Source organism: Homo sapiens, chromosome 7, assembly GCF_000001405.40.
Source record: "Homo sapiens chromosome 7, GRCh38.p14 Primary Assembly".
NCBI lineage: Eukaryota > Metazoa > Chordata > Mammalia > Primates > Hominidae > Homo > Homo sapiens.
Window position 1 is genome coordinate 124,065,120 of NC_000007.14, and position 11,182 is coordinate 124,076,301.

Here is an 11,182-nt window from a genome sequence, read left to right on the forward strand (position 1 = left end):
CGATCTCACCTCACTGCAACCTCCGCCTTCCGGGTTCACGCCATTCTCCTGCCTCAAGCCTCCCGAGTAGCTGGGACTACAGGCACCCGCCACCATGCCTGGCTAATTTTTTGTATTTTCAGTAGAGACGGGGTTTCACCGCGGATACACCATCTTTAAGAACTGTAACGCTCACTGCGAGGGTCCACGGCTTCATTCTTGAAGTCAGCGAGACCAAGAACCCGCCGGAAGGAACCAATTCTGGACACAGTGAGGTCAAAAAAATTTTATGATTGATTTATTCCTCAATCCATTTTAATTATCCTAGATTACTGTTTCTTGGATTTTATCTAGAAAGGGATAAAAGGATACATATAAATGCCACCCTTAGGTGGATTAGAGTCATTAAAATTTGTGGATGTCACTTTGCTTATTGGTCCTGCTATTTCACCAACTTCAAATCAATTCAAAACTTTTTGAACACATCTGAGAATATACAAATCTGCTCTAAATCTGATTCTTTTGCTTTTCAAAAACACCTTTTATTTTTCTATAAAAGCTTCTCAGAATTTCATACATACTCTCAAATCTGGTGTCTCAGTTACAGTTTGGGGAAGGAGAATCACTATGAATGATGAAATAGAAGATGTATTATAGGAATAAGACTTTACACAACTGTGGGAGGATTTGAGACACAAAGGTCCAAAAAATTGTGGTTGGAGATCGTAGAAAATTCACTAATCATTGTGATGGAGAACTGGTAAAGTAATTTACAAAAGGCCCCCCCTGCCTATGGTGATGGGCCCTAAGACACTATAAGTCATCAGGACAAGTAGTTGGGAAAGAAATCTGGACCTGAAGTAGGATAAGTTAAGGCATATGAGCCCACAGGGACAAAGTGTTAACTGAGGGGATAAACTAGAACTCTTTTGGGCAAAGTGAAACCCCATTTGACTCATGACATCTGACTCTGACAATGTGGGTGACCTGAAGATGAAGCTGGTGCCTTCACGTGTTGTTGAACACCTGGCCTAAGACTCGGAGAATCTGAAGGAGGAGATTAGGTGGGAGCTAGAGGTGCTGTGGCACCACCGCTGCCTCTTGCCAGGGGAATGAATGAGCAGGTCAAGGACAAGGTGCACTGGCTGCAGCAATGCCTGCATCAACTTAATGAACAAAATGCCTGCATATTCACCTTCACCTTCCAAATCTCACACAAATTTCCAACCTTCAGCTGGAACCACTCTAGGAAGGGAACTCTTGGAAACATAGGTTCAGCTTGCTAAATTGACAAAATACAAATACCACTACTCAGCTCTTTCAAAATATGCCGAGACATGAATAATAATTATTCTATGAATATGCATTTAGTGAACACTTCTATGTGCTAGAGACTGCTAGACAGAAATCATAGACAAAGAATAGTTTACTCTCACTGAGCTTACAGTAAACCTCAGTCAGATGCGACATTTTCATGTACCTAGGGTTTTCTTGGTGCATGAATCTGACTGAGTGCCTGGCATTCATTCAGATGATATTTGAGTAGTCACTGTTAAGTATGCCTGTTGAGTTGGCGTTTCATACTCTTATGAAGCTTATATTCTATCAATCAATACATATCTATTGGATAAATGAATGATGGGTGAGTAAAGGTATGAGTTAATATGGATGCAAAATGAAGGTATATTTAATGCAGACTGAATGGTCTAGGGAAGGTTTCCTGGTGAAGCTGAATTTTGAAGGGCTGGTAGTAACCAGTGTTCAAGAGGTAGGATTGGATGAAGATGGAGCAGCTTGGAAAAATTTACAGAAGCCCCCACTTGCCCCCCACACAGAAGTGTAATAAATTTGAGGAATTACAGATTTGTTGGGAAAGAGAAGGATTAGAGGAAGCTGGTGATGTAATCATAAATGAGATCATGAAGAGATCAAGATGCCATTGTTTATCTGGAAAACAATGGCAGTCACTGAAAGACTTTAAAAATGTCAACAATAACTTTGGATATGTACTTAAAATTTTAATATTTTATTATTAGATTAAAACATACAATGAATTTACAATGCACTTTTTTCTAAAGTACTTTTAACTCCTTTAGCTCTTTCTTAGGTAGTTATTACTGCATCTTCAAATGAAATGTTTATAATTTTGAATTTAAGTTTGGATATTATCCATTTACTTCCTGTAGTAAAAGCTGGTGATTTGTAGTTTTAGAGCAGTCTTGTCATCCTTCACTTACCCTCTCAACATAGTTATATAATTTTTTCATTTAAATTACCAAACAGCCCTTCAATGACTGTAGAGAAGTAACTAACTTCCCATGGTTGGACACTTCCCATGGTGAGGAGCAAAGCCAGGACTGCCAGTGTTTTGGCATGGTGTGTGTTTTGCATACACATCCTTCCAACTTATCCCCATGATTTTCAGTCCATGTTTCACTCTTACCTTCCACCATACCTGACAATTCCTTTTCTGAGCTCTTAGGGGTCCTGGAAAGGCAAATTGATTTCTTTCTTATCCAGAAAACACTGGCTTGTCTTCTTTCCTGTAATCCATGTTGGCATGAGTTCATTCTTTAAAAAGTAAGTCACTTGCTTTCAATTTTCTGCACTATTAAGAGAGAGGATATGACCATGTAGTTTTCAATTTACATCTTTAAGCACGATGCCAGGCATATTTCAGGAAACTCATTCTAAAAACACTGTGGAAAGTAGGTTCAAAGGAGATAAGAGTGAAGACTGTTACAGTATTCTAATTGATAACTGATTAGAGCCTGAACTAAGATTATGCCATGAGGGATGGGGTGAAGAAAAAGGGAGGGATCAAAGAACTGCTAATGAGGTAGAAGCCATGGTCTATGTCCTGTTCTGATTTTGTGGTGTGAGAGAGGGGTCAAACATAATTCTGCAGTTCCTTTCCTCAGCATTACAAATGATGATCTTACTCAACAAGGCAGAAATACAGTAGAAGAAGTGAAGCAATTTTTAAAATATTACTTTGGGAGAGATGAGTTAACTTTTGGACATATTGAGTTTGATATTTCTATTGGCTGTCCATATGGACATATTGGTGGAAAGTTAGAGTTTGTAGCCAGAGAGGATAGTATTAAAAATCTGCAGTTTTGGAGTGAAAGAGTTCTGTGGTCAATACAATTCAGAAAATAGAAAATTAAAATCTCTAGATTTTAGGAGATTAAGAAACTGTGAGTCTAGGACTTTCAGCTGTTGGATGAGTCATACAAATGGACATGAAAGTTGTACAACATGATGTTGGAATATTGTGAGTTACTGGTGCCAGAACCATCCAAGTTAAGTCTTGACCAATGGCAGTATATGGCAGAGAATAGGAGCTGGATAACTTGCCTCAAAGAGGAGAGATTTGTTTGCTTTTATTAGAGGAGCGTAGAAAGGAAATTATTCAAAACTGGCATGCTAGGAGAATGCCACCTCTTGTCTAGTAGATAATCTATTTTGTCTTTCTTTGGAGATCTGAACTTCATGTGGTCTTGGAGGAATAGTCCATTTTGGTGTGTAGTTCCTCATGTCAGTGGAATATTTATCATATGCTAGGCTGGGCCAATAGTACAATATGCCCCATAGGTTGTGATTGGACTGAAGAATAGTTTTGTAACCCAAGCTATTTCAACTAGAATCCTTTTGCATTGTAGATGCACTCCTCAAGAGGAGGATAAAGATGATGTGATTCTGATGTTAGCAGCAGCCATATTGCCCATTGCCTAGAAGACTGCAAAAGAATCTTGAGAAAATTAATTCAAGCAGAAACAAGTGTAGGTGATAGCTGAAATTTAGAGGCATATTTATATTTGTTTGTGCCTTTGAGAATATTCCTCTTTCTTCTCTCCAGTTGTGTAAGTCCATAAATAACTTTTAAACTTTTTTTCTTAAGCTAGATTTGAATTTGGATCTCTATTGTCAACCAAAGACTGTTAACTAATATACCTCTTTCTGCACCCCACCATCATGAACTTGGGTCATGTGAATTATGAGATAAAAAATAGCCTCCATTAGAAGACTGTAGAGAGAGGGAGATCCTCCAAAGAAAGTCAAATTTTAGTTAAGACAAGAAGCTATAAAGAGCTTGTTTACAATAAAACAGGGTTTTAGAGGCCAGGATTGAAAGTGATGGAAGAGTGGGGAGTGTGAGAAGCAGGGTGACAGCAAAGGAAACACTGAATAGAGAAGAGCTTAAGAATAGGAAGTCATTTTGAAATGATTAAAGGGTTGTCACTATACATTTTATACCTTATAAGTAAGGTATAAAATAACAGTCATTTTTACAACTATATACATAATAAAATTTAGTTCAGATGTTATCAAAAATACCTACTTATGTGAGGTATCTAAAGTAGTCAAATTCATAGAAACAGAAAGTAGAATGATGGTTACCAGGGGCTTGGAGGAGGGAAAAATGGGGAGTTGTTTAATGAGCATAAAATTTCAGTTTTGCAAGATGAGAAAGTTTTGGAGATCTGTTGTTCAACAATGTGAATATTCTTAACACAACTGAAATGTATACCTTAAAATGGTTAAGATGGTAAATTTTGTGTTATGTGTTATTTTAACCTAAATTTAAAAAATTAGTTCAACTAATATAATTTGCATAACACCATGAAGAGTTAAAATGTGGGAATGTATCTAGAATACCAATGAAATGAAGGTACATTTTCAGAACAGGCACAATGTTACTGAATATCCCGGTGTAGATGCGGTTTCTGCCTCAGGAAGGTAAAATCTAAATTGGAGATGGTGACTGATCAAAGGTCAGGAAGGAGTCTGAAGAGAAAATATCACACTTAATAACTACCTTATGCTTTAGTAGAATGATATACAACAGAGAATTTGGGCTCACTTTGGAATTGCAATGAAGGGGAAAGAAAGGAACGATTGAATGGAATAAAAATAAACCAAGCAGCTCCTGTGTGGAGAATGATTACATCTTTAGTGTAATTTTCTCTGTAATGGAGGGGCCTTTAGCAAAACCCAGGAGGAAATTTTAGAGGTGATATGCTGGATGTGAAGGAGTCTGACTGCTAATCTTGCCAAGGGTCTCAGAATGTGTGTATTTTTTGCTGGTATATATTTTTTGAAATAAGCTTCAAGAAATTTCTAGATTGAGCTGGATCCACTCCCAGAAATCAATCTTCCTATTTTACAAATAGAGTTTTACAGATTGTTTCTAACTAACTTTGAGTTTGTTCAAGTTCATCCAACTAATGGATGGCATAGTTAAATCACAAGTCTCTGGATGTTCTTTGTAGTATTTTTCTCAAATGTGAATTTGGCTATCCACCATATTGAATCACTAGAAGGCGTTGTCTGTTCACTTTTCTATCATTATCATCATCGTTACCACAGCAGCGGCAGCAGCAGAAGTAGTATTTTGGTCATTGTTATTAAAAATTGTCAGCAAAAGGTACAGGGGTTATTTTCAAAGCTGTAAGTAGCCTTAGCTGAAACTAGGTAATAATCTCCCTTTCAATGTTCACATTTCCTTCAATTAGAAAAAGACATATTATAAGGAAAATGGTGCTGACAAAAATGAATGTGGAGTATAACTTCAAGAATTTATTCCCCAAATTCTCACAAATATGTGTCCCAATTTTGATTCTTGAAAAATAGGCCACAGTTTACCGCTTCTAAGTGGGTAAGAGTCAAGCTGGGTGATAAAGTAGTCTTTCTAACGTTAATATGCACTTGCTTTTGCTTTTTGTGAGCAGACGCCAAACATTCTGTACCCACCTTTCTGCCCTTTTCCACTTTTTTCTGACCCCTCTACTCTCTCCTCATAAACATCAAAGTTGCTTGAGTTTAGGTTGAAAAAGCAAAACCATTCCAATTTCTTGTGCTGTCTCTGAATTAACCTAATACAGTGACCATATAATTTATCAATTAAATCTGGACATTTTGAGAGAAGTGGAGGCACTATTAAAATTACACTCTAATAACTGGTATAAACAGTGATTGTCCTCGACAAATGGGAATATATGGCTACTCTATACAGTAAGACAAGGTTTAGTCTATCTCCAAGAGCATCTTTTTAGATCTAACCTAATCATCTATAAAAATATGAAACAAAATAATATGATGGTGTTCAGAATTCTGAGAGGTAGACTATTCAATTATTTGGCACTGGACTGTGTGTATTTCAGAGCCAACGTTGCTTCATGAGAACAAGATGAAATTATGATGAAGATGACTAGTTAAGCTTTTTAAGTATTTGTTTCAGATGAACATTTAGATGTTTATTAAGTGTTATTATTTATTGTGCTAGAAATAGGGTAAATAAATTAGGAACATGTTTTAGTATAAATAAACAAGTAATATTTCTGATTCTGGTATAATATTAGAAAACCTGGAAATGATTACTGAAGTTTATGCTTACTATATTTACCTAAAAATCAGCTTATTCAAATATATTCAAAATCAGATTATTCAAATATATTCAAAATCAGATTATTCAAATACTATTTAAAAATCAGCTTAAATCAGAAATGTCCTTGGAGATGATAATCTAGAAATTATCTTTTGCCTTTGAACCTACAGATAGAATAAATTAGGTTTTGTTAATAATTCCTAGATTTAAATATTGTTGAATAGGAGACCAAATATTTTCAACCTGTTATAATGTAACGTATTTTTTATCCACTCTGGAAGCAGAAGAATTATAGTTTAACCTTCAGTACCTAAAGTGATACTTTAATTTAAGGCATCCTTTATTGTTATGTAGGGAAGGAAGTCTTCCCAGAATCAGAAAGGAGCACCATTTACTTTTGGTTTTATTTCATTTTGTAGATGTGCCAAAAAGTTTGAAGAGCAGAGGCTTTTATATTTAGCATAAAATTATACTAACACCTTGCCAGTAACCTAAACCCTTTGGAACACAGCCCAGATTTGGGATTATATGGGAAAAGCTCCTAAGTACCCTAAACAATTGTTATAAAATCTCTGCACCAAATCCATGCCCTTAACAATTACTGATTCCACAATGATAAGCTTACTGACTTTTGATTTAATGTGTGTGTATGTGTCTTTGGATACACAGGTATAAAAAACTATTCGTTTATGAATAACAAATTTGGAACAAAAAACTAGAAGGTAGGCAAAAAGAGCAGATAAGTGATGGACAGATCTAATCTATATATGTTCTTAATGACATTTATTCTTAATGAAGACTCTGAATCAGCAAGAAAATTTAGATAATATCCACTAACTACTGCTTAATAAGTGGGAGATGTAATTTCTTTTAGAAAGAAGTCCATTAAAAATTGTGTATATGTTTTTAAAAAGTTGTTGGTATTTTAAGTGGTAGGCTTTATTTTTTGGCAAAATTCACTGACATGGAACACCTCATGCTTCCATAAGGCTACATAAAATGTTTTTATAATACAGGTTATGGGAAACATAATACTAAATTATGCATATTATACGGTAAAGACTATATAAATACCTACCTTGATATAATTTGCTCTCAGAACAGGCCTTTCTGGACTTGAACACTTGTGAATAGTTGAGGCTGTAAGTCTGGTGAGGGTGTGAGAAAACAGGATAATTCTGGCTCCCTTAGCCCCATTTTTATAGGACTGTTTTCAGCTGCCGCTTATTTGATGTGATATGTCATGTCATTCTGTATTATGGCATTCCAGAAGTGCTGTTTCAACATCAAGTCCAAGCACATTTCCTTGGGAAGTTGATGAGGTTGAACTGGAGAACAGCTGTAGGTACGTGGAGGACCTGCTGGGATAGCTGTTAAAAGGCATTAAGGAGTCTGATTATTAATCTAAGTTTCAGTTAAGAAGCAATACATTCTCCAGAGAAAAAACAAGGAAACTGCTTTGTAAGAAATAACATATCACTCTACCATCATCCCCACTCCACCACTAATCAGTATATATAATTAAAATTGAGTTTATAAAAACATTCATCCTTGGGACCATGAAGGAATGCAAGACAACACAGAAATAACTTCAGTCTGGGGATAATTCTGCCAGGATTCTGTACTTCATGGTGAACACATTGTGGTTTGCAAACTCCTTTTTCCACCCAAATTATGAATGAGTCATTGAGTTGTTGGTATAACCTCTGAGTCATTTTGCTAGCGTGGAAATAGGCTTTAAGGAATTGTTTACATTCTCTCCCTCCATTTCTTTTGGAGATGTAAGCAAGCTGCGTCAGGTTGGAAGGAGTCAATGGCAAAAGATTTGTCTTCCTCTGTTGAAGTTAAAACTAGGACCATTCCTTCTTTTTACTGCTATTGAGATTTTTAACAACAGACCTACGTGGCCAGGTGATTATGGCTAATGAATAACACTTATAACTGAAACTGAACATCTTTCTTTCTTTCTGGTGTCCGTCCCTGAGGACCCGTGTGTAACACAAGCACCAGACTTCAGTCTCTGATGGTAGAGATTTTGGTAATTCATTGACCTAACAAAGCTCTCAGCACCATTTATGTTTTAGGTCACAAAGTACTTGTGGACTCCCGCTCTTGCCTGAGTGAGGTTCTTGCCAGCATTTGTGTTGCATCTGCAGGACACATAAGTGTTTGGAAGTGGGGGAGCATGGCTATGGGAAAGAAGTTATAATAATATAAAATAAAACATTCTTCTCTTATCTGAATCTTAATATCGTAGGGGTAGAGAAATCGTAGAGATTCGTTGGTTGAAGTGTTTTCAAATACCAAAGTCAAGATTCATGTCTTTCAGACTGTGAATATTGTTTCGTAGATAATATACTTTTTGGGGGGGGTAGGCAGAGGACATTATTGCTAATAATAACCTCCTTCTTATTCATTTGCATTTCAATACAATTTCTTGAGTGGGAAGAAAAGAATATAGTTACAGCTAGTATTGTGGGATTTCATACATCTTGTCCTACCATGGCATAAGTCAAGTGACTTACAGTTACAAAACTCTGCCTGAGATGTCCTTTACTCCTCTCCTGCCTCGAAAAAGAAATCTGCTTATCCTTTAACACAGAGCAAGTATCACTTTCTTTATAAAGTGTGGCCTCTCTACCCTAGGCTCTCCTCCTCCAGCTGAGAAGAACTTTGCTCTCCCTCTCAGCTCTTTATAGCACATGGTGCTGCCAGTGATGTTTATCACATTATGTTACTGTTAGTTACATTCCAGTTTCTCTGTCTTTTTAGAAGATAAGCTGCTTTATTCATTTGTGTATCACTAGGGCCTGGCAGGATAGCTAGTGCTTAGTAATGCTCAACAGATGTTAGTGTCAGAACCAGAATTGGTGCCCAGTTTAATACCCAAAACTACCAAGTTACTATATTTCTGAAATCAAAACTAACCAAACACTATCTTATTTATTCTATTACACTGTATACTTGTACCCATGAATCAACCTCTCCTCATTTTGGTAGATAAGTAGGGTGACTATAGTTTACAATAATCTCTTGTCTATTTCATAATAGCTAGAAGAAACTAATTCAAATGTTTCTAACATAAAGACAAAATACTTAAGGTGATGAATATCCCAATTACACTAATCTGATATTTACATGTTGTAAGAATGTATTAAATTAGCACACATGCCCCCAAAATATGTATATTTATTAAGTATTAATAATTTTAGAAAAGATCAATGTCAGACAACTTAAAAACAAAAAACAAAAACAAAAAAACCCAGAAACCAACCAACCAATCAGCTGACAAATTAAATCAAACAAATAATTGTTGTTTTACTTACTTGGCTAATCTGAACCCATAAATCAAGCATGGTTTTATGGGTGAATGTGCAGAAGGTGGACAGAGTCAGACAGGATGGCACATGTTTTTGAGTTTATTTTCTGGCCAACTGTTTTTCAGACTTCAGGATAAGTCCTTAAGTCATGGATATCTATGTCATGGATACATTGTGAGACTTTGAAAGAAAAACAACATAACACTTTCAGGTGAAAGGTGTGAGCCGTTGAGGCATTAATAAGAAAAGTGAGATGAATATTGAAAGTACTATTGTCAAAATCCTGCCTAGAAACATCGGAATGAATTTCTCTGTCTTTGTACAAAGCTATCTGTGCTATATTGTTTCTTCCTCTCTTTTCCCTTCCACCCCTTCTTGTTTTCTTCCCCTTCTCCTTCTCCCTTTGCTTCCTCCTACTCTTGTCCTTTCTCTTACTCTTTCTGCACCTTCTTTTCTTTTTCCTTTTCTTTCTTCTTGTCTCTATGTCTATTTTATATTCTCTCCTCCTGCCATCTTTTATTCCTAGGGTTTTATTTTTAAGAAGTTGGCAATGGTGATGGCAAGTCAGTGAATCAAATGAGGGAATGGTTATGGGGAAATTAGTGCAATTTAGACGATAGGAGGAAGATATTGCTCACAAAAATTTCATTTCTCTGTGTTTCAAAAATGCATTTATTTATTTTGTTTAGGCAATATAGTCACATGGCTCAAAATTCAAAACTAGAAAAGAGAATATAGAGAAAATCTTCCTCCTACATCTATCCCACTCAGTTTTCTCCAGGCAGAAAAGCAAGATACAGTTTCCTCTGTGTATTGCCAGAGATACTTTTATGCATGTATAAATAAGCACTCACACATAGTTATCCTTTTTCTTCTCTCTTTTTGTAAATGGAAACACATATTTTACATCTTAATTACACCTTTTCTGCACATTGCTTATTTTTCTTTAATGGCTGTAAGATATTCCATTATACAGATGCACAGTAATATATTTAATGAGTTGCTTTTTTGATAGATATTTAGGTTGTTTCTCATATTGTGTTGTTAATTTATACTAAATAAAGTTTTTACACATATTCCATTTCACACATGTGCAAGTATCTCTATATTCCAAGATGAGGAATTTCTAGGTCAAAGAGAAAATATATTAGTAATTTTCATAGGTACTGGCAAATTGCCCTCTGTTCTCCCAAACCTCATGAAGTGTGGGTTTTTAAACTTTTTCATAATGCCCACGATATCTTCAAAGTATAATCTATTTTTTACTGAATATTCCATTAGCCAGTTATTCAGACAAAAAGCATTTGCTTTTTTGTCCTTTTATAATATTTCTGAAATTTTAATAAAGCAATCAAATGAAATAACTGATTTGTGTTGGAGACTGTGTCCAAAGAACTGGTTGAAAAATAAAAAGAATTCAACAAGTTGTTTTGTTTACATGATATTGAACCACTGACTGGAGGATTTTGTTTTACTGATTTGGAAAAATTAT